At 48.9% G+C, this 23,981-nt stretch overlaps 1 protein-coding gene across 1 annotated transcript, besides 1 other annotated feature; it reads right to left on the bottom strand.

Moving 5' to 3' along the window:
• On the bottom strand, positions 1,016 to 22,403 carry CRX (cone-rod homeobox). The gene is made up of 4 exons (NM_000554.6): positions 22,330 to 22,403; positions 9,797 to 9,931; positions 7,946 to 8,097; positions 1,016 to 5,020 (listed from the first exon to the last, which is right to left on the bottom strand). Exons 2-4 carry the CDS (start codon positions 9,894 to 9,896, stop codon positions 4,373 to 4,375), a joined length of 900 nt encoding a protein of 299 aa, NP_000545.1. The 5' UTR covers positions 9,897 to 9,931; positions 22,330 to 22,403; the 3' UTR covers positions 1,016 to 4,372.
• Positions 4,260 to 4,785: an enhancer, noted in NCBI's record as "H3K27ac-H3K4me1 hESC enhancer chr19:48342812-48343337 (GRCh37/hg19 assembly coordinates)". NCBI's record gives its function as "activates a minimal SCP1, AML or CMV promoter by ChIP-STARR-seq in primed H9 embryonic stem cells {active_cell/tissue: H9 hESC(primed)}" and the evidence as "EXISTENCE:reporter gene assay evidence [ECO:0000049][PMID:30033119]".

Here is a 23,981-nt window from a genome sequence, read left to right as displayed (position 1 = left end):
TGAACCCAAGAGGCAGAGGCTGGAGGGATTCAAGATCACGCTGCTGCACTTGAGCCTGGGTGAGAGAGGGAGACCCTGTCTCAAAAAAAAAAAGAAAGAAAGAAAGAAAGTCAGAAAAAAGTAAGCAGCAAAGAAAAAGAGACAAGAGGGAAGGAAAGAAAGAAAAAGGTGAAAATCCATCCAAATGAAATGAGGAGCTGGGAGTCTGAAAGGCAAGAGGAAGAATGGAAAGAGAGAGAGGAGAAGAGATGACAGAGCAAGGGTGAGATTGAGAAACTGAAAAGCATCCGGGGGAAGAGATGGAAAGCAAAGGGGTGGAAGAGCTGAAGCTGCAGAAGGCTGGATGCTGAGAGGGAAGGCGGGCCAGAGGCTGCGCGTGGCTCTAAATGCTGGCGTTAAGCTTCACATCCTGCCACTGAGGCAGGGAGCATTCTCGTCACCCCCCTGTTTTTTCGGGAGGGGCATTGGAAGGTTACAGATGGGTGGGGCTGGGGCTGGCCCTGGGGACCCCTGTTCCTCCTCCTCCTTCTTTTTTTTTTTTTTTTATTTTTTGTTTTTGGAGACAGGGTCTCTTGTTGCATCACCCAGGCTGGAGTGCAGTGGTGCAATCATAGCTCCCTGCAGCCTCAAACTCCTGGGCTCAACCGATCCTCTCATCTCAGCCTCCCGAGTAGCTGGGACCACAGGCACACATCACCACACCCGGTTGATTTTTTTAATTTTTTGTAGAGACAGAGATCTCGCTATGTTGCCTGGGCTGGTCTCAAACTCCTGGCCTTAATCAATCTTCCCTCCTCAGCTTCTCAGAGCACTGGATTACATGCGTGAGCCACTGCACCCAGCCCCTGATCCTTCATAAATTGGCTTTAGAGAGATGTCAAGGAAAGGAGGGTGATGAGACAGGAAACACATGGAGGGACCCAGGCCCCACAGACAGAAGGAACAGAGTAGTTCCTGTTTCTACCTGCCCCTCCTGGAGAAAACACGGAAACTAAAGAATCACCCAGACTTTAAATGAGATCCAACATTTTAATTGGTTTCACTCTGTGGGTGGACAGAGAAGGGGGACCCAGAGGCCAGTGTGTGGGGAAGAGGAGGACAGATAAGGTGACACCTTCTCAGGGAGGCTCCTGGCTTCTTCCTTCTGTCCCCACCTGCCTTGTCACTCTTCCTGGCTTTAGGACGTAGAACGTTTGAAATCCCCTGTGCACAGCTGGAAGAACCAACACTCAGGAGCCCAGCCCAGGAAAAGCAATCTGTAACCTCCTAGCTGGATTTGGCTCCCTGCCCTCTCCGGCTCCTGGTGGAGTCTCAGAAGACCCCAGGATCAGGCTCTCTCGAAGTCTTACCCCATCGGCCTGTGATGGGGGCCCCTTGGCCTTCACTACTTCTCACTCCTTCCCAGAACCTTGCATGCATCCTTCAGTCCCTCCCCAACTCCCATCAAGTTTCTATGACTTGTTTGCACAAGACACAGCCTCCCCGGTGAATAAGGAGAAGATTCTCTTCCACGCCTGAGTCCCGGCCTCCAGTGCAGAGCTTCCGTGTCTCCGAAGAATGAAACTTATAGTGGATTCTGGTCCCAACGTTTGCACAGACCCAGGGCACAATATTGTCTCATCCCTGCCCCTCCCGTGTGAATTTTGTCTAGCTCCCCCAGCCTCCCCAGTGACATATGTTGTCTTCCTCTGTTTATATTTTCATCCCACACTGGACTCTTGAGCCACTCCTGGGTTATTTTTGTTGTTGTTATTATTGAGACGGAGTTTCGCTCTTGTGACCCAGGCTAGAGCACAGTGGCACAATCTCTGCTCTCTTCAACCTCCGCCTCCCGGGTTCCAGCAATTCTCCTGCCTCAGCCTCCCGAGTAGCTGGGATTACAGGCGCGTGCCACCATGCCCGGCTAATTTTTGTATTATTAGTAGAGACAGGGTTTCACCATGTTGGCCAGGCTGGTCTCGAACTCCTGACCTCAGGTGATCCACCCGCCTCGGCCTCCCAAAGTGCTGGGATTACAGGCGTGAGCCACCGCACCCGGCCCACTCCTGGGCTTAATGTCCCAGAACCCAGCATGACTCAGGCCTATGAGAGATGAACACGTTTTATGTTGAATAAAAACCTCTTTGTGGGCTCTAGAGATCAGGGTGTACCCCTCAGGGGGTCTAGGCTGTGTGCACCTCTTCTGGTCTAGTGCTGGAAACGTCATCTGATACCTCCCGGCCTCTCTTCACATCTCGCCTTTCTCCTGACCCTGGCTGCTGCTGACGGTGTGTACCAACTCGTAAGCATATATTGTGCCCTATCTCTTCCCAACTCTTAGTTCAGTGACCTCCGGTTGCTAGCTTGAAGTCAGCCGTGGTGGGAGTATTTACACCACGGAAACTGACAAACACTCCACAACCAACCTTTTCCTCTTCCTTGGAGAGCCCATTGTTAGACCTCTGCCAGCACACCACTGTCTTCCTGCCCTACTTTTTTTTTTACACCTTGCCTTGTGAACTCCACCAATGAAGGGCTCTTGGAACCCGCCTCCCCACCCAAAAATGAAAGGAGAACTCGGACTGAGAAGGCAGGGACCCAGCACCCAACTTCTGAGCATCAAATGACCTCAATCCGTCTTCAGGTTCTCACAAGTGCTTGCCAGTGTCACCATAAGTAAGATTCTATTTCAAGAAATAATGGTGCCACCCCAGGAAAATGTCCTCAAGCCAAGCTCTATTTTCCAATCCCACCATCAAAACTGAAAACCAAAAAAAAAAAAAAAAAAATCTAAAAAAGGGAATGTATGTTTGAAATGTAGGGCTGCCTCCTCCAAATCTATTTCCCCCTCTTCCTATCTCTTGTTTATTTACAGATGGGAGTCTGTCTAGCTGCTGCTTCTCTGTGAAATAGCCACAACTATAGGTGGTACGTCCCAAGCAGCTACCCCAGTTCCACCAGTGTCTCACCTTTAGAAAATCCTAAAACAAAAGAAAAAAGGAGTAGAGATGGAACAGGCAAGGTGCCTTTCATTTCCCTACCAAATACACACATTCCCAATGTGCTAATGAGCGAATGAGTGATAAAATGTCTTTAAAAAGAAACTAAGAAGAAAAAGTACATATATGTATAGCTACATATATGAATGTAGATCTTTGTCTCTCAAACGGTCCCCTAAACCTACCATGTAAGCCTGACATTTGTGAAGTCTGTGAAATTCCCAGATAATTTATTTTTAATGTAACCACATCATTGGCCTAAGGTTTCCCGACGGGGCTTCTTAAAGTCTGTCTTTGGAATTTCTAGAAAGGTCCCTAACCATATGCTAAAGAAGTGTCCACGTGTAGGGCCAGGCACAATGGCTCATGCCTGTAATCCCAGCACTTTGGGAGGCCGAGGCAGGCGGATCACTTGAGGTCAGGGGTTCCAGACCAGCCTGGCCAACATGGTAAAACCCTGTCTCTACTAATAATAGAAAAATTAGCCGGGCATGATGGAGCACACCTGTAATCCCAGCTAATTGGGAGATTGAGGCAGGAGCAACGCTTCAACCCGGGAGGTGGAGGTTGCAGTCAGTGAGCTGAGATCACACCACTGCACTCCAGCCTAAGCAAAAGAGTGAGACTCCGTCTCAATTAAAAAAAAAAAAAAAAAAAAGGGCCGGGCGCGGTGGCTCACGCCTGTAATCCTAGCACTTTGGGAGGCCGAGGCGGGCGGATCACGAGGTCAGGAGATCGAGACCATCCTGGCTAACACGGTGAAACCCCGTCTCTACTAAAAATACAAAAAAAATTAGCCGGGCCTGGTGGTGGGCATCTGTAGTCCCAGCTACTCGGGAGGCTGAGGCAGGAGAATGGCGTGAACCCGGGAGGTAGAGCTTGCAGTGAGCTGAGATCGTGCCACTGCACTCCAGCCTGGGCGACAGAGCTAGACTGTGTCTGCAAAACAAAAACAAAACAAAAAAAAAAATTCTGTCCACGTGGAAAGTTAAGTTATCAAGCCCCCCTACCTGCTTGTTCAAGGGCACGGTGATTCTGACCTAAACATGACCCCAAATCAACTGCAAGTTTGGTTTGACTTCTTCTTGGAGCAAGTTCTCAGCACCACTTTCTGAAGCCTGGAGCTCGTGGTGTACTTCAGCGGTCACAATCGTGCCAGACGGTGTTAGGGTTGAGAGAATCACTAGGACCTGTGAGCTGTCCCAGGAGAGGGAGGAGCCTCTCCCTGTGGAGGAAAGGGGTGGTCTCTGTAAGCTGAACACCGAGCTGTCAGAAGGACAGCTGGTTCGGGTTGCTTTCTCAGGAATGCCATCCCGGGATCTAAACTGCAGGGAAGCAGATTCAGAAGAGAAAGGGTCCCGAGGCCCGATGGAGAGAGATGGAGACTGCGTCCTCTACAAGATCTGAAACTTCCAGGCACTCTGATCCTTGTAGTCCAGAGGGTCCATGGGATTGTAGGTGAATTTCCAGGTGCCCGTGGGGTCCTTGAATTCCAAGCTATCCACGGGGCTGTAGGCGCCATAGCTCTGGCCTGATAGGGAGGTGGGGGACTGGGCCAGGGAAGGTCCCACGGAGGGGCCAGAGAGGGGGCTAAGAGCCGGGCCCCCTAGCTGGGGCACCATGGGAGAAAGGTAGGGGTCTAGGCCGCTGAAATAGGAGCTCGGAGACCCATAGGCGGAGGGGGAAGAGCAGAAAGCGGAGGCCGGGGCGTAGGTCATGGCATAGGGGGCGGAGGTCAGAGACGGCCCTGAGGCCACCAGCCCAGCCCGCTGCGCCTCAGGCAAAGGGGACTCTGAGGCTGGGCTCCAGATGGACACAGTGGCCACTGCCGTGGTTGGGGAGCCTGAGGGGCCGGGCAGAGGGGGACTGTAGGAATCTGAGATGCCCAGAGGGTCTGGACACACATCTGTGGAGGGTCTTGGGGACGTGCCCGCCTTCCTCTTGGCAGGCCGGGCCTTGGCCTGGCCCCCTGGGGGCTGCTGCTGCTGTTTCTGCTGCTGTCGCTGCTGCCTGCATTTAGCCCTCCGGTTCTTGAACCAAACCTGGGGGATAAGAGCGGAGATGGGGGTGGGTAAGTGGGGAAGAGGCCCAGGAGAGCCGCAGGGTGCCCGGGGATGAGGACACTTATTGGTGAGAGGTGCTGGGTTCACATCTGTCTACTTTGCATCCAGCTGTGGGGCGTCTATTCACCCATCCATCCATCTATCCATCCAATCATACCTGCATGTGTGCATGAACACATGCATACATCATACCCATGTGCATTCATCCCATCCGTCTAATGCAAACATGCACACGTACAATTATACATGCATACACCATACGCACATACATCATGCCTGCATTTACCCATCGATATGATCATACATACATCATACACATATTCATCCACCCATCTAATACAAACATGCACACGTACAGTTATACATATATACACCATACGCACATATATCATGCATACATTTACCCATCTATATGATCATACGTACATCATACACATTTTCATCCATCCATCTAATACAAACATGCACACATACAATTATACATACATACACCATACACACATACATCATGCCTGCATTTACCCATCTATATGATCATACATACATCATACACATATTCATCCACCCATCTAATACAAACATGCACACATACAATTATACATACATACACCATACGCACATACATCATGCATACGTTTACCCATCTATCTGATCATACATACATACATCATACACATATACATCATACATACATTCACTGGCTCATCTGATCATACATGCAAGTGTACATGCATCATACACGCATACATCATACATGCATTAATGGAGCCATCTGATCATACATATATACATCATACACATTCATCCATCCATCTGATCATACAAACATACAATTATACATACATACATTGTACACACATACATCATACATATATACACATTAATCCATACATACAATCATGCAGACACACATTTCATTTATCCATCTAATTATATATACATGCGTACACTCATATATACACAAATAAACCCATCCAGTCATCCAATCATGCATGTATGCGTACATACATGATACCTACAGGCATTTATCCATCTAATGCAAACATACATACAATTATACATGCATACACCATACACACATGCATCATGCATACATTTATCCAGCTATCTGATCATACATACATCATATACATATTCATCCATCTGATCATACAGACATACAAACATACAATTATAGGCACATACATTGTACACACATACAGCATACATAGCTACACACTAATCTATCTAATCATATGTGCATACAATCACACAAACATACATATTTCATTTATCCTTCCAATCATACACACGTGTGTATGCACATATATGTAACATCATACCTACAGCATACAAACATACACGCATACAATTATACATACATACACCATACACACATACATTATGTAGACATCCATCTGATCATATATACATACCTCACACATATATATGTCATACACACATTCACCAGTCCATCTGATCATACATACATCATACATAGACTTATCCATCTGATGATACATACAATTGTACACACATACATCATACATAGATTCATCCATCTTATACATATAATTATATAAACATAGGTCATACACACATACATCATACATGCATTAATGGATCTATCTAATCATACATACATCATATGCATGTTCATCCATCCATCTGATTATACAAACATACAAATATACAATTATACACCCATACATCATACACACATACATCATGCATACATATACATTAATCCATCCAGTCATACCTATATACAATCATACTAACACACACATTTTATTTATCAGTCCAATCATATATACATGCATACACTCATATATACATAAATACACCCATCCGGCCGGGCGCGGTGGCTCACGCCTGTAATCCCAGCGCTCTGGAAGGCCGAGGCAGTAGGATTGCCTGAGGTCAGGAGTTTGAGACCAGCCTGGCCAACATGGTGAAACCCCATCTCTACTAAAAATACAAAAATTAGCCCGGTGTGGTGGCACACGCCTGTAATCCCAGCTACACAGGAGGCTGAGGCAGGAGAATCACTTGAACCCAGGAGGCGGAGGTTGCAGTGAGCCAAGATCATGCCACTGCACTCCAGCCTGGGCGACAGAGCGAGACTCCATTTCAAATAAATAAATATACCCATCCATCCAATCATGCAAGCATGTATACATACATGTGCACATACACCACGTATACATATATCATGCATGCATACATTCATCATCTATCTAATCATACCTATGTGCGTTCATGCAAACACACATATATACATGTATCCATCCCATCATACACACAGACACTCATATATACACATACATACACTCATCCATGCTTCCAGTCATACATGCACACGCACACCTACAGTCACACATACATACATTCATCTATGCATCCACCCACCCATCCATCCATCCGTCTATTCAGTCAGTTAATAAACATGTATTAACCATTTTCTACTACTCTGAGTGTCCGTCAGTGGAATTGACATTCTAGTTGGGAGAGACAGAGTCTAAATAAACAGACTCTGAGATACCATATGTAAATCATATGCAATTTTAAATGCTGTGTTCAGTGTGGGTCTCACTGATGGATAAGCAAAGACTCGAACAAGGCGATGGGGCCTGCTGTGTGGTTATCTGGAAATAAGCATTCCAGATAGAGGAAACTGAGTGCAAAGGCCCAAGGCAGGAGGGTGCTTGGCAGGCAGGTCAGGGCCAGCGCAGCTGGAGAGGAGCGAGGGGCAATGAGAGCCATGAGGCGGTCAGTGGGATGGTGGGGAGAGGGATTATTGTCCCCTTTATAACTTTGGCTGTCACTCTGTGATCTCTCCCTCCTCCCATCACTCTTTGTTCCGGGCAGGCCTCCTGAGATCACAGGAAGTGTCGGGAGGGGTCCAGGGACCCACCACCCCACCTGAACCCTGGACTCAGGCAGATTGATCTTCAGAGCCACCTCCTCACGGGCATAGACGTCTGGGTACTGGGTCTTGGCAAACAGTGCCTCCAGCTCCTCCAGTTGGCTCCGGGTGAAGGTGGTGCGCTCCCGCCGCTGCTTCCTGGGGGCGCCTGGGGTGGGATGGGAAACAGGACCCTCAGGTCATCCACATGGGCTGGTGTGAGGCCCTGAGGCTGGGTGGGATGCCAAGAATTCCATCCTGGTTGCCATCTGCCTAAACTAAGGATGGAATACACATTCCCTGCCCTTCTACACCTCACTGTGTGCCTGGCACTCTGTGGCTCATGCCTGACCCCAAGGCTTTAGCTCAACAAGGAGGTGTGCGAGTCGTTTTTCCCTCTTCTAAACTTTCTTATGCACTAAGACATAATCAGTTGAAGCATGACATTGCTGACATTCAACCGTTTCTAGCCTATAAAAGTAGCAAGTCTGGGCTGGGTGCGGTGGCTCACGCCTATAATCCCAGCACTTTGGGAGGCTGAGGCAGGCAGATCACAAGGTCAAGAAATTGAGACTATCCTGGCCAACATGGGGAACCCCTGTCTCTACTAAAAATACAAAAAATTAGCCAGGTGTGGTGGTGCATGCCTGTAGTCCCAGCTACTCGGGAGGCTGAGGGAGGAGAATCGCTTGAACCCAGAAGGCAGAGGTTGCAGTGAGCCAAGATTATGCCACTGCACTCCAGCCTGGTAACAGAACAAGGCTCGGTCTTGAAAAAAAAAAAAAAAAAAACAAGAGCTAAAGAATAATGCTACAAATAACTGAGTACTCACTTCTCTTAAAAATAAGGCTTTACAAAAATTGGCCGGGCATGGTGGTGTGCGCCTGTAATCCCAGCTACTTGGGAGGCTGAGGCAGGAGAATCACTTGAACCTGGGAGGCAAAAGTTGCAAAGAGCCAAGATCGCGCCATTGCACTCCAGCCTGGGCAGGAGCGAAACTCCGTCTAAACTGTGTCTCGAAAGAAAAAAAAAGAAAAAGAAATAAGGCTTTGCAGGCCAGGTGCAGTGGCTCATGCCTGTAATCCCAGCACTTTGGGAGGCTGAGTCAGGCGGATTATTTGGACCCAAGAGTTTGAGACCAGCCTGGGCAACATAGGGAGACCCAATCTCTACAAAAAAAAAAATAATAATAATTTTTTCTATGTTTTGTATAATCCAGATCCTGCAAAATCTACAAAAACTTAAAAAAGTTAGCCAGGCATGGTGGCGTGCACCTGTAATCCTAGCTATTTGGGAGGCCAAGGCAAAAGGATCGCTTGAGCCCAGGAGTTCGAGGCTGTAGTGAGCTGTGATTGCACCATTGCACTTCAGAGTGGGCAACAGAGTGAGACCCTGTCTCAAAAATAAAATTAAAAAAAAAAAGTGCCCCCCGGGCCTAGGCACAATGGCTCACACCTGCAGTCCCAGCTACTCAGGAGGCTGAGGTGGGAGGATTGCTTGAGCCCAGGAGTTCGAGGCTGCAGTGAGCCGTGACCACCACCACTGCACTCCAGCCTGGGTGACAGAGTGTGAGACCTTGTCTCTGAAAAATAAATAAATAATAAAGTTTTGGTAACAGATGAAAATTCCTCTTGATTCCCCTTCCAGATTACATCCCCTCTTCCTCACCCCAAAAGGAACCTCTGTCCTGAATTTCTAGGACTGCTAATGTTTTTCTAAGTGACATACATTTCAGATGAACCCAGAGGGCTGGTGTATGGCCCTGAAGTCGCCCCTGTGATTGCCTTCTTCCTGGGGGCAAAGGGACCCCAGAGGTCCTCCAAGAGATGAGGCCAGCCTGGGGTGCCAAGAGAAACGACTGTACTCACTTGGGTAGGGCACAGCCTGGTGCATCAGATCCACACTGGGGCCACTTAGGGCCAAGGCGTTGACAGAATAGTGGGGCCCCGGGTTCATATACGCCATCATGATCTTCGGGGACACTGAGGCCCAAGTCAGGGGGCCTGCAAGAGAAGAGGAGGGATGCTCACTCACTTACCAGTTACTCACCATGGGGTGACGTGCAGGCTGCGATTCAAATCCTGCCTCCTTCTCCTCTTAGGTATGTGACCTTGGCCATTTATCTCACCTCTCTGTACCTCTGTGTCCTCACATGTAAAATGGCCTCTGCTTAAGGTTCTCAGAGCTTTCTTGAGACTCTGCAAAGCAGACAGCTGAAGCCATCATGTGCCTCATAAGTGCAAGCTCTTATTCCTACTCTACCCTCTAAAAATCTCGTCCTGGCTAGGCACAATGGCTCACATCTGTCATCCCAGCACTTTGGGAGGCCAAGGCGGGAGGATCACTTGAGCCCAGGAGTTTGAGACCAGCCTGAGCAACATAGCAAGACCCTGTCTCTTAAAAAAAAAAAAAAAGTGTTCTTTAAAAAGTTAACTGGGTGTGGTGATGCATGCCTGTAATCCCAGCTACCCAGGAGGCTGAGGTGGGAGGATCACTTGAGCCCAGGAGTTTGGGGCTGCAGTGAGCTGTGTTCAGGCCATTGCACTCCAGCCTGGGTGACACAGCAAGACTCTAAGAAAAAAACAAAACAAATCTGATCCTGTTACACACCCTCATCCAAGATCCCTTCTTTCTTGACCATGGGCAAACACGCTCAGCCTCACTTATAACCCAGGACTGCAGGTTGACCAACCGTCCCTCTTTGCCCAGGTTGGAGGAGAGGTGGGTGTTTCTTGGAACACAGGACTTTCAGTGCTAGAGCCAGAATGGTCCCAGGCAAACTGGATTGGTTGGTCACCCTAAGGGAGAGTGGCATTAAACCAACAGTAAGGGCCAGGCAAGGTGGCTCACGCCTGTAATCCCAGCACTTTGGGAGGCTGAGATGGATGGATCACCTAAGGTCAGAAGTTCAAGACCAGCCTGGCCAACATGGTGAAACCCCATCTCTATTAAAAATACAAAAATTAGCCAGGTGTGGTGGCGGGTGCCTGTAATCCCAGCTACTTGGGAGGCTGAGGCAGGAGAATCACTGGAACCCGGGAGGCAGAGGTTGCAGTGAGCCAAGATCGCACCACCGCACTCCAGCCTGGGCGACAGAGCGAGACTCTGTCTCAAAAACAAAACAAAACAAAACAAAAAAACAAAAACAAAAACAAACAAAAAAACGACAGTAAGGGCTAAGCAAGGCGGCTCACACCTGTAATCCCAGCACTTTGGGAGGTCAAGGCAGGAGAATCACTTGAGCCCAGAAGTTCAAAACCAGCCTAGGCAACATAGTGAGACCCCCATCTCTGAAAAAAAGAAAAAGAAATAGTGAGACCCCCCATCTCTGAAAAAAGAAAAAGAAATAGACCCCTATCTCAAAAAAAAAAAAAAAAAAAAAGCGAGTGTGGATCTTCCATGATCACTTTTGACCTATCAGGTTGGCAAAGATGAAGGAGGTTGATAACTTCCAGCACTGGTGTCAGTGTGGGGAAAGGCACACTCCCATGGCAGATAGGTAGCAGTACAGGTTGTAACAAACTGTTATTGAAGTAAAATGCCATCTTTCTTTTGTCCTAGTAATTCACCTTCAATGTATACCTCAGTCGCCTTGTTGGAAAATGGGAATGAAAATCGCATTTATGGGCCAGGCGCAGTGGCTCACACCTGTAATCCCAGCACTTTGGGAGACCAAGGCAGGCAGATCACTTGAGGTCAGGAGTTTGAGATTAGCCTGGTCAACATGGTGAAACCCCGTCTCTACTAAAAATACAAAAATTAGCTGGGCACAGGGGTGCACGCCTGTAGTCCCAGCTACTTGGGAGGCTGAGGCAGGAGAATCGCTTGAACCTGGGAGGCGGAGGCTGTAGTGAGCCAAAATGGTGCCACCACACCCCAGCCTGGGCTACGGACTCCGTCTCAAAAAAAAGAAAAGAAAAGAAAAAGAAAATAGCATTTATGTTCAGGTGGCAACATAGCGAAACTCTCCTGTCTCTACAAAAAATTAATTTTTTTTTTAAAGTAAGCCTGGGCGCAGTGGCTCATGCCTGTAATTTCAGCACTTTGGGAGGCCAAGGCAGGCAGATCACCAGAGGTCAGAAGTTCGAGACCAGCCTGGCCAACATGGTGAAACCCCGTCTCTGCAGAAAATACAAAAATTAGCCGGGCATGGTGGCGCGTGCCTGTAATCCCAGCTACTCGGGAGGCTGAGGCAGGAGAATCGCTTGAACCCGGGAGGCAGAAGTTGCAATGAGCCAAGATCAAGCCACTGCACTCCAGCTTGGGCGACAGAGCGAGACTCCGTCTCAAAAAAAAAAAAAAAAAACATAAGGCTGCTCTCTGAACTGATTTTAAAAGATCTCCATTATATAGTTTTAAAAAATTGTTCTAGGGGCCAGGTGTGGTGGCTCACATCTGCAATCCCAGCACTTTGGGAGGCCAAAGCAGGCGGATCACCTGAGGTCGGGAGTTCGAGACCAGCCTGGCCAACATGGTGAAACGTCTCAACTAAAATACAAAAATTATCCGGGCGTGGTGGCAGGCGCCTGTAATCCCAGCTACTCTGGAGGCTGAGGCAGGAGAATCGCTTGAGCCCGGGAGGCAGAGGTTGCAGTGAGCCCAGATCGTGCCACTGCACTCCAGCCTGGGAGACAAGAGCAAGACTTCATCTCAAAAAAAATAAAAATTAAAAAAAGTTCTAGGCTCGGCAATAAGACAAAAAAAGCTGACAGCATGCCATTTCCAAGTCATCTGGGAGTCTTGTCTAACAGACCCACCCAAAGTTTGCTTCATATTCCAAGGCAGCAGTCCTCAACCTTTTTGGCACCAAAAACTGGTTTCGTAGAAGATAATTTTTCCATGGATGGGAGTGGGCAGTGCCTTAGATTTTCATAAGGAGTGTACAACCTAGATCTCTCGCACGTGCAGTTCACAATAGGGTTCACGTTCCTGTGAGAGTCTAGAGCCACCGCTGATCTGACAGGAGGCGGGGCTCAGGCAGTAATGCTTGCTCACCAGCTGTGCAACCCCATGCCTAACAGACTACAAACCGGGGGTTGGGGACCCTATTCTAAGGGACTGTACCTGTATTTGATTTACTATTCTTTTTTTTTTTTTTTTTTTTTGAGACAGAGTCTTGCTCTGTCGCCCAGGCTAAAGTGCAGTGGCGCGATCTCGGCTCACTGCAACTTCTGCCTCCTGGGTTCAAGCGATTCTCCTGCCTCAGCCTCCTGAGGAGCTGGGATTACAGGCATGCGCCACCATGCCCGGCTAATTTTTGTATTTTTAGTAGAGACGGGGTTTCACCATGTTGGCCAGGCTGGTCTCGAACTCCTGACCTCGTGATCCGCCTGCCTCGGCTTCCCAAAGTGCTGGGATTACAGGCGTCAGCCACTACACCCGGTCTGTTATTCATTATTGATTAGAGTCTAGACTTCGACAAGGTAAATGGTAACCCCAGGAAGTTTGGTTGCAAATGATTTCTCTCTGGTAGAAAAGGTAACCTCAAAGGTTACAGTTGTATTGTCCTGTAGGTCTTTAACCAGTTTTGTATCTAACCTGGCAAATTTTCTCCAGCCCGTCTTTCCTGACTAAACCTATCAACTTCTGTTCATCAAATTCTCCTTTTTTTTTTTTTTAATGGAGTCTTGTTCTGTCGCCCAGGCTGGAGTGCAGTGGCACAATCTCGGCTTGCTGCAAACTCCACCTCCTGGGTTCAAGTTATTCTCCTGCCTCAGCTTCCCAAGTAGCTGGGATTACAGGCATGAGCCACCACACCCAGCTAATTTTTTGTATTCTTAGTAAAGACAAGGTTTCACCATTGTTAGCCAAGCTGGTCTCGAACTCCTGACCTCAGGCACCCGCCACCACGCCCAGCTAATTTTTGTATTTTTAGTAGAGTCGGGGTTTCACCATGTTGGCCAGGATGGTCTCAATCTCTTGACCTCGTGATCCACCCACCTCAGCCTCCCAAAGTGCTGGGATTACAGGCGTGAGCCACTGCACCCGGCCCAAATTCTCCTTTGAAACAGCTGGTTCCTTCATTCATGACTTAAATAAATCTTTGACCTGTGCTTATTATATATGCGTCAGAGAATCAGATTTGTTTTTTGGGGTTTTTTAAGAGACAAGGTCTCCCTCTGTCATCCAGGCCGGAGTGCAGCGGCGTTGCCATAGCTCACTGCAGCCTCCAACTCCTGGGCTCAAGTGATCTTCCCACCTCAGCCTCCCAAAGTGCTAGGACTACAGACATGAGCCACCACACCTGGCCAAATGTTTTTCTTTTTTTCCCATTTAATTGCACTTTGACAATAAGTGTTTGTGAATGTTATTTTATATATTGTATATGACCAAACCATATATATTTATTATTATTTGTGTTATTATATATTATAAATATTATAAAATTATAATATTTATATATTCAAAGGAAACAAGTATGGTGCTGGGCAGTATGTATACCTCGCAACCATTTGTGATTTTTAAAACAATGCAGATGGCCAGGTGCTGTGTCTCACACCTATAATCTCAGCACTTTGGGAGGTCAAGGTGGGCAGATTGCTTGAGCCCAGGAGTTCGAGACCAGCCTGGGTAACATGGCAAAACGCTGTCTCCACAAAAAAAAAAATACAAAAATTGGTCAGGCATGGTGGTCCGCACCTGTAGTCTCAGCTACTCAGGAGGCTGAGGCAGGAGGATCACTGGAGCCCAGGATTTGGAGACTGCAGTGAGCTATGAGCATGCCACCGCACACCAGCCTAGGCAATAGAGGAAGACCTTGTCTCAATAATAACAATAAATAGGCCAGGTGCAGTTGCTCACGCCTGTAATGCCAGCACTTTGGGAGGCCGAGGCAGATGGATCACCTGAGGTCAAGAGTTCAAGACCAGCCTGGCCAACATGGCAAAACCCTGTCTCTACTAAAAATACAAAATTAGGCAGGCGTGGTGGTGGGCGCCTGTAATCCCAGCTACTCCAGAGGCTGAGGCAGGAGAATCACTTGAACCCGGGAGGCAGAGGTTGCAGTGAGCCGAGATCACGCCATTGCACTCCAGCCTGGGCAACAAGAGCGAAACTCCATCTCAAAAAAAGAGTCATAATAATAAAGTAAATTTAAAAATAAAAATACAATAAAATAAAAATACAAAAATTAGCCAGGCATGGTGGTGCATGCCTGTAATCCCAGCTACTTGGGAAGCGGAGGCAGGAGACCCTCTGGAACCTGGGAGGTGGAGGTTGCAGTGAGCCGAGATTATGCCAGTGCACTCCAGCCTGGGAGGCAGAGTGAGACTCCATCTCAAAAATAATAAGTATTATAATTATGAATTAATAAACAAAATGAGGCATTGATTTTACTCATGTGTAGAATATACACTTGTATATGCGTAGAAAATTCCCAGGAAGGAAGCAAGCTACTGGCACCAGTGACTGCCTCTGGGAAGGAATGCTAAAGCCATATCTTGTCTCTATAGTTTGGATTACTTTTTAATTGTGTGTGTGTGTGTGTGTGTGTGTGTGTGTGTGTGTGTGTGTGTGTGTTCTTGTCAAAAGCAAAAACAACAATAAAATCTTCAAAAAAGCAAACAGAACATGAAAACCCTCTGAGGGTTCCTCATTGCCCTCATTAGGATGGACTCAGAAAACCTCTCACCCTCCACAGCTATTTGCATAAGCCGTTTCCTGGGCTAGGAACGCCTCTCCCCCACCCCAAAGCCCCTCTCACCAGCTAACCCCTTCTCCTCCACGTCTCAGCTCAGCTACTTTCCCCAGAGAAAGCAACCTACGCCCCTAAACTGGATTTTACACACACACACACACGCTCCCTACCTCCTTTTCTTCAAGACACAGCTTGTATTAAACGACATATTTATATGTTTGTTTATCTATCTCTCTCCCTCAAATTCTATCAGTTACCTGAGTTCAGGGACTGGTAATATCTCGGTTCCTGCCATGTCCCCAGCACCCCCAATAAATATTTGAAACATAAGAAAAAGAATTAAAAATGGATGGTGTTTATTGTGAGCTCCCACTCTTCCGTTCCTCTCACTGTCCTTTCCTTCTCATCCCTCACATGAGGAGGGGGACAGATTCTGTTTATTTTAAGTTGAGATTCTACTGTTCATTCAGTAAATATTTTTTGAATGCCTTCCCTGCTCTAGGAACTAGGAATATAGGAAGAAATAAGACCGCAGCTTCTCTGTTCTCATAGAATTGAACTTCTTGGTTCCGTTCCTAGAGAAACCAATAACAAACAAGGAAAAAAAAATTTTTTTTTTTTGAGATGAAGTCTCACTCTTGTCCCCCAGGCTGGAGTGCAATGGCTTGATCTCGGCTCACTGCAGCCTCTGCCTCCCAGGGTCAAGTGATTCTCCTGCCTCAGCCTCCCAAGTAGCTGAGACTACAGGGGCCTGCCACCATACCTGGCTAATTTTTGTATTTTTAGTAGAGATGGGGTTTCACCATGTTGGCCAGGCTGGTCTCGAACTCCTGACCTCATGTGATCCACCCGCCTCGGCCTCCCAAAGTGCTGGGATTACAGGCGTGAGCCACCACGCCCTGCCTTTTTTTTTTTTTTTTTTTTTTTTTTTTTTTTTTTAATAAAGATGCCATGGCCAGGAGCAGGGGCTCTTGCCTGTAATCCCAACACTTTGGGAGGCTGAGTTATGAGGATCACTTGAGGTCAGGAGTTTGAGATCAGCCTGGCCAACATGGTGAAACCCCATCTCTACTAAAATACAAAAATTAGCCAGACATGATGATGGGTGCCTGTAATCCCAACTACTTGAGAATCGCTTGAACCCGGGAGGCGGAGGTTGCAGTGAGCTGAGATGGCACTACTGCACTCCAGCCTGGGCAACAGAGCAAGACTCTGTCAAAAAAAAAAAAAAAAAAAAAGCCTTCAGAAAGTTTCAAGAACTCCCAGGAAAATAAAACAGGTTGTTATGAGAGTGAAGGCATTTGGGGTGGGTGAGGCATCTAGGAATTTGTGTGGATCTGGAATAGAGATTTCCAGGCAAAAAAAAAAAATTAAAAAAACAGCAGGTGCAAAGGCTTGGAGGCTGGAATCTCACACCGTCACCCTGAGCAAGACAGGGTCTCCAACTTGGTCTTGTTGGAGAAGAAACAAGGCACCCTGTGTGACCATAGCAGATTGATCATGGAGAAAAGCAGAAAGAACAAGTAAAACCTGGTAGGAATGTCACGAGAAGGCTCAGTGCTGACAATAAAATCAAAAGCAGCTACATTAAATCCCCAAAATCAAACTGCCTCCAAGGTAACTCCCAATAATCCTTACCCCCTGATATTCATGCCCTGTGTAGTCCCTACTAACAAGCTGGCTGACGTGTGTAACCAACAGGATATTGCAGAAATGACAGAGCGTGGCTTCCAAGGCTAGCTCTAAGGAAAGCCAGCCGCCATGTTGTGAGGATGCTCAAGCCATCCCACGGAGAGGTCTATGTGGCAAAGAAATGAGGCCTCCTGCCAACAGCTATGAGAGTAAGCTACCATGGAGGTTAGTTCCCCAGCCTCAGCCAAGCCATTAAGTGACTTCAGTCCTGGCCGACATCTGACCACAACCACATGGAACACCCTGAGCCGGAATAATCCAGTTAAGCCACTCTTGGATTCCTGTCCCTTGGAAACTATAAGAGATCAGAAATGTTTATTGTTTGAAGCTGCTCAATTTTAGGATAAGTGTTACCCAGCAATAGTTAACTAATACACAAGCCTTCTCTATACAGGTAGTCATTAAATCCCCAGCACAACCTTGGGAGGTAGAGACTGTATTACTATGATGCTTACATTTTGGTTTTGGTTTTGGTCTTAGGGACAGCATGTCACTCTGTCACCCAGGCTGGAGTGCAGTGGCACAATCATAGCTCACTGCAGCCTCGACCTCCTGAGCTCAAGCCATCCTCCCACCTCAGCCTCCCAAGTAGCTGGGACTACAGGTGTGCCACAACGCCTAGCTAATTTTTTAAATTTTTGTGTAGAGAGAGGTGTCTTGCCATGTTGCCCAGGCTGGTCTTGAACTCCTGGCCTGAGCAGATCCTCCTGCCTCAGCCTCCCAAATTGCTGAGATTACAGGCATGAGACACTGCTTTTGCCTGATGCTTACAGTTTAGAGAACATCTTCAGGCTCGAAAGTGTGACTTACCCGGGATCACACACAGGCTGGCAGTGGAGAATCCAGGATTTCAAGGCTAGAGTAATTCCTGAAGGTCCTATTCCCCCAGCCCCCTAACCTGGGTTCCCTCTGTCCTCTCCCACTTCTCCAAAAACCAATAATGTTAAATATGAACCTCCAGAGAGTGGAGACAAGGAAACTGGTGAACCTGCCCCACTGGGGACCATTTGCAGGGCCTGGAACAAAAGCACACACTTTCATTGTCTTCGCCGTCAAATCTGAGTCAGATTGCCTGGCTAAGCAGTTAACCTTCCAGGAAAGCCAAGAAAGCTCACATTTACGATCACCACTTTCTGGGTTTTTGTTTTTGTTGTTGTTGTTATTTTGAGACGGAGTCTCTGTCACCCATGCTGGAGTGCAGTGGCGCAATCTTGGCTCACTGCAACCTCCACCTCCCGGATTCAAGCGATTCTTCTGCCTCAGCCTCCCAACCTGGGACAACAGGCATGTGCCATCATGCCTGGCTAATTTTTTTTTTGTATTTTTAGTAGAGATTGGGTTTCTCCATGTTGGCCAGGCTGGTCTCAAACTTCTGACCTCAGGTGATCCGCCCACCTCGGCCTCCCTAAGTGCTGGAATCACAGGCGTGGGCCACAGTGCCTGGCCAGGATCATCCCTTTTAACGGATAGGGGAGAGGAGGCTCAGCAGGAGGAAAGTGTGGGCCCCAGATCAAACAGCTGATAATAATGATAAAGTGCTGCCTAGACAAGATGTCAGCAGAGAATAATAACAATAATAATATTGAACATCCACTGAAATCTTTCCCTGGGTTTGGCAGCAACCTGAGGCAGCTGATGACAGAAGGGCCTCCAGTGAGGGCTGGGCGTGGTGGCACGTACCTGTAATCCCAGCACTCTGGGAGGCTGAGGTGGGAAGATCGCTTGAGCCCAGGAGTTGGAGGCTGCAGTGAGCTATGATCCAGCCACTGCACTCCAGCCTGGGCAACAGAGCAAGATCCTCTCTCAAAACAAAACAAAACAGGCCAGGCCAGTGGCTCAGCACTTTGGGAGGCTGAAGCAGGCGGATCACTTGAGGTCAGGAGTTCAAGGCCAGCCTGGCCAACGTGGTGAAACCCCGTCTACTAAAAATACAAAAATTAGCCGGGCATGGTGTTGTCCCAGCTTCTGGGGAGGCTGAGGTACAAAAATCTCTTGAACTCGGGAGGCGGAGGCTGCAGTGAGCTGAGATTGCACCACTGCATTCCAACCTGGGCGACAGAGCACGACTCCATCCCAAAAAAAAAAAAAAAAAATCAATCAATCGAAAGAGGACCTGTCTCCTGGGGAGGAAAAAAAAAAAAGAATGTCCAGGAATTCATCACTCGGCAGACACTTGGCCCAGGCTTTATATACAAGATCTCACAATGACAACAATTTCCAGACACTGATGTTTTATGATTTCAAGGGGTGGAACAAAGAATATCAGTGTCTCTGCCCTGGGGATCAACCTGGGAGGCCCCAGGCTGATTCTCAGAGCTGTGGGGTTCGGCACTCACTGGGTCCCAGGTTCCCAGCTGAGCAGTTGTTCCCACAGGTGAGGTCTGAATGCTCACAGCCACCTGGTGGGGCAGACATGCAGATAACTCCATTCTACAGCGGGGGAGACTGAGCCTGGGAGGGAGGGAGGTGCCCACAGTTCAGGTGGCTGATGACCTTAAGGACCTCCAGGGGGCCCCAGCTTCTCACACACTGCATGCACCATGGACCTTGGGAACAAGATCTCAGGCAACAGTAACTCCATGGAAACTTCCTCCCAGGCGGCTTCTGGTATCATCCCCACTTTACAGAGAAGGAAACTGAGGCTGAGAGAAGTGTAGTCTCCAGTTCTGTCTCGCACGTCAGCGGCAGAGCCAGAGCTGGGCCAGCACCTGCCCCGGAGCCGGTGCCCTCCTGATCACCCGGCGATATGGCCTCTTAGGATGCTCCCCACAGCCCCACGGAGCTCAGAGGTCCCTTTCTCAGAGGAGGAAACTGAGGCTGAAAGAGGTTTCGTCAATTCCCGAGGTCACACAGGTGATGAGTGGAAGAACCAGGGGTAAAATTTAAATCTCTTTGGCCCCCGAGCCCCGCTCTTCACCCCCAAGTCTACCTAGGGACCCTAGAAACAGAATGAGGCTGGTCTCCTGCCCTGCTCCCACTGCAGGCCAGGCCTGCAATATGGCTCATCTGGCTGGATCATGGTGACAGCTTATCATTGTCCCCACTTTGCAGAGGAGGCAACCAAGGCCCAGAGAGCCCACATGAGGGGTCCAAGGCCACACAGTGAGAAAAGAACAAGATTTAAACGCAGACTCGGCCGGGTGTGGTGGCTCACGCCTGTAATCCCAGCACTTTGGGAGGCCGAGGCAGGTGGATCACCTGAGGTCAGGAGTTTGAGACCAGCCTGGCTAACAAGGTGAAACCCCATCTCTACTAAAAATACAAAAATAAGCCAGGCATGGTGGTGCACGCCTGTAATCCCAGATACTTGAGAGGCTGAGGCAGGAGAATCGCTTGAACCTGGGAGGTGGAGGTTGCACTGAGCTGAGGTCATGCCACTGCACTCCAGCCTGGGCCACAGAGTGAGACTCCGTCTCAAAAAAAAAAAAAAAAAACCAGACTCATGTGGCTTCATGCCAGCCCTTGGCAAGACCCTCCCAGCTCAGCCACATTCAGGGCCCTCCCTTGTCAGCCACTCCAGCCTCTCTCTGCAGCCTCTGTTGGCTCCTCTGTCCAGCGGGGACAAGGAGCTGGGTGGATGCACCCACTGCCGGCCATGAGACCTGGGGGAAGCTGGGATCCACGGCACAGTTAGAGCCTGAGCAAATCAACTCCGTGATCAACAATGTGATCCCTGAAGCATCCAGAAATTCACACACAGTGGGCAGCCCTGAAGTCGGACCTCACTCTGTGGCAATCACAGCCCTCGCTCGTTCCTTTTGGGAAAACCGCATCACACCTCCTCTCTGTGGCAGTCTGTCTACCTGCTTCTACCCTTCTGCCCTTCATTCATTCATTCATTCCCTGCATATTCACTGAGCACTCACTGTGTGTCTAGGACTGACCCAAGCACTGGGAATACAGCCGAGAGCAAGACAGACAAGGCCTCAGCCCTCCTGACAGGGGCAGACGGGAAACAAGGTGTCAATCAAGAGTTTTGCAGGAGACCGGCTGGGCGCAGAGGCTCATACCCATAATCCCAGCACTTTGGGAGGCTCAGGCGGGCTGATCACTTGAGGTCAGGAGTTCGAGACCAGCCTGGACAACATGGAGAGACCCCCCATCTCTACTAAAAATACAAAAAATAGCTGGGCATGGGGGCACGCGCCTGTAATTCCAGCTACTCAAGAGGCTGAGGTGGATGGACTCCTTGGACCTAGGAGGTAGAGGTTGCAGTGAGTGGAGATCGTGGCACTGCACTCCAGCTTGGGCAACAGAGCAAGACTCCATCTCAAAAACAAACAAAAAAAAACTTTGCAGAAAGAAGATCAGAGAGAGTGACTGTGCTGGAAGCTAAGAGGGCGGGGGCGTGAGGATTCCCCAGTCCCGAAGTAGAGCCTGGGCTGAAAGCCAGAGCCTCTGGGTGCATTGAGGCCCTAAGTGATCAATTCACCAGCACAGTGATCCCCAGTCATCACATTCCTGGCTCTCTCGGGCAGGCCCAAGTCCACCCGGAGTTCTTCCTGTTGCAGCCACAGACCTGGGCTCTCTGCGTATATGTCTGTTCCGTCCCTTGTCTGTCATTCATCCATCCATCTATGCAACACATATTTAGGCAAATCCCAACCACACGCTGGGCACTGGGGAAAAATCAGTGCTCAACAAGGGAGGGAGACAGGCCATTTGTGGATCATCGCGCAAATGAAAATTTCAGGCAGTGCTAAGAGTTTTAAAGAACATCCAACAGAGCGGTATGCTGAGGAGTTGCCTTAGAACCACGGTGAGAAGCCCCCAACCCCGGATGCCGTCAGGGCTTGAGGGGACCCCCTTGCCCACAAGCCACCCTGAATCCTCCCAATGCCCCGAGTGCCATCAGCCAGTCCCTGCTGTCTAACCTTACTCCCTCCTGCTGCAATCACAGCCTAGCCCCGTTTCCACAAATGCCAGGACGGCACCTCTGTTTTGTGTGTGACTATTCAGCAAACATCACCTGCAGAGCACGGCAAACACAGCCACGAATAAGATAAACCCAACTTCTCCCCTCTCTTTTTTCTCCCCTCCTCGGTCCCCTCCGCCTCTCCTGCAGACGCTCACCTTCAGAAAGGAGGGACGGGGCTCTCCCGTGGCCCAGGACCTAGACAGAGCGGCCAGACAGCAGAGGCTGAAGGAAACACATCCCCTCACATGGGGAGATTTTAAGCCTGGGCCGGGAGTGATGTCATTTGTCATGGCCTGGAACTCGGAGGGTAATCCCGGCCAAGGTGGGGGACTCGACTGGGCACCAGGAGGTGACATTGGCTGGGAGGGGGAGGGGCACCCGTCTGCTTAATCCCCTCCTCTTCCCCCCATGACATCTTGGCAATTAGGGCTGATGGGGAAGGGAGGCCCCAGCTCCTGCCGGTGACCATAAGCCCCTACTCCTCAGGGAAGTCCTTCCTTAGGTCTAACTGGTGTCTCTCCAGCTTCAGCTAGTATCCCAAGAGAGAGGCATCAAAGAGGAAGGAGAGCACTGTCAGATGGTCCTGAGAGATCGTCTGAAAAAAGAGAGGCACGGAGCTTTCGGGATCCCTCTCCTGGGTCCCCCTTTCTCTCCACAACAGTCTGTCCGACAGCTAGTTTATCTCTGTAGTGCCTCATTGGTCTCGGTTTCTGCCTCAGTTTCCCCTGTTTCTCTCTCTTTGACTTGGTCAAGTCTTGTCTGTGGCCTCTCTGTCTCTGTGTTGTCAGACATGATATTCTCCTCTTTTTGGGGGCGGAGGTGGCAGGGGCTGCTTCCAGCACTGAAAATAGGCAGACTTATTAGAAAGGGTGTTTTGTTTTTCTGTTTTTGGTGGAGTTTGGGGTTTGGGATTTTTTTCTTTTTTTTTTCCTTTTTTTTTTTTTTGGTTGAGACAGGGTCTCACTCTGTCGCCCAGGCTGGAGTGCAGTGGCATGATCACAGCTCACTGCAGCCTTGACCTCCTGTGCTCAAGGGATCCTCCCTCCTCAGCCTCCCCAGTAGCTGAGACTTTACAGGCACATACCACGATGCCCAGCTAATTTTTTTATTTTCGTAGAGATGGAGTCGCTCTATGTTGCCCAGGCTGGCTTCAAACTCCTGGCCTCAAGCAATCCTCCCACCTCGGCCTCCCAAAGTGCTGGGATTGCAGGCGTGAGCCAACAAACCCAGCACTCACCATCTCTCTACACACCATTGGTCTTTGTCTGGCTTCTCTGTACCTCAGTTTCTTTTCCTGTGGGCCTTAGGCTGTGGCATTTCTGCCTACTTTCCTGAATACCACTCTTTCATTCTCCATCTGCTCCTCTCCGTCCCTGTCTCTGTTGATAAACCTGCATTATCCCCTTGGTCTCTCTTATTCTTTTTCTCTGTGTCTCCCTGTCTATCTTGCTCTTTCTCCCCTCTCCCTCAGCCTCCATGTCCTTCTGTTCCTGTCTGTCTGTCCCTCCCTTTGCTGTCTTTCTGCCTGTCCACCTGTCCCTGTAACTCCAGCCTCATCTCTGTCCCTCTGTCCTCGCTTATCCTCTGCAGCTCCAATCTCTGTTCCTCCTTCTCTTTTTCCCTGTCTCTCTCTCTCTCTCTCTCTCTCTCTGATTCTTGCTTCCCCTCTCCCTGGATTGCCCTTCATTTCTGTTTTGTTTTGTTTTTGTTTGGAGACAGAGTCTTGCTCTGTCACCCAGGCTGGAGTGCAGTGGCACCATCTCGGCTCACTGCAACCTCCACCTCCCCGGTTCAAGCAATTCTCCTG

Source organism: Homo sapiens, chromosome 19 (assembly GCF_000001405.40).
Source record: "Homo sapiens chromosome 19, GRCh38.p14 Primary Assembly".
In the NCBI taxonomy this organism is placed as follows: domain Eukaryota; kingdom Metazoa; phylum Chordata; class Mammalia; order Primates; family Hominidae; genus Homo; species Homo sapiens.
This window is presented reverse-complemented; position numbering and strand designations above follow the sequence as displayed.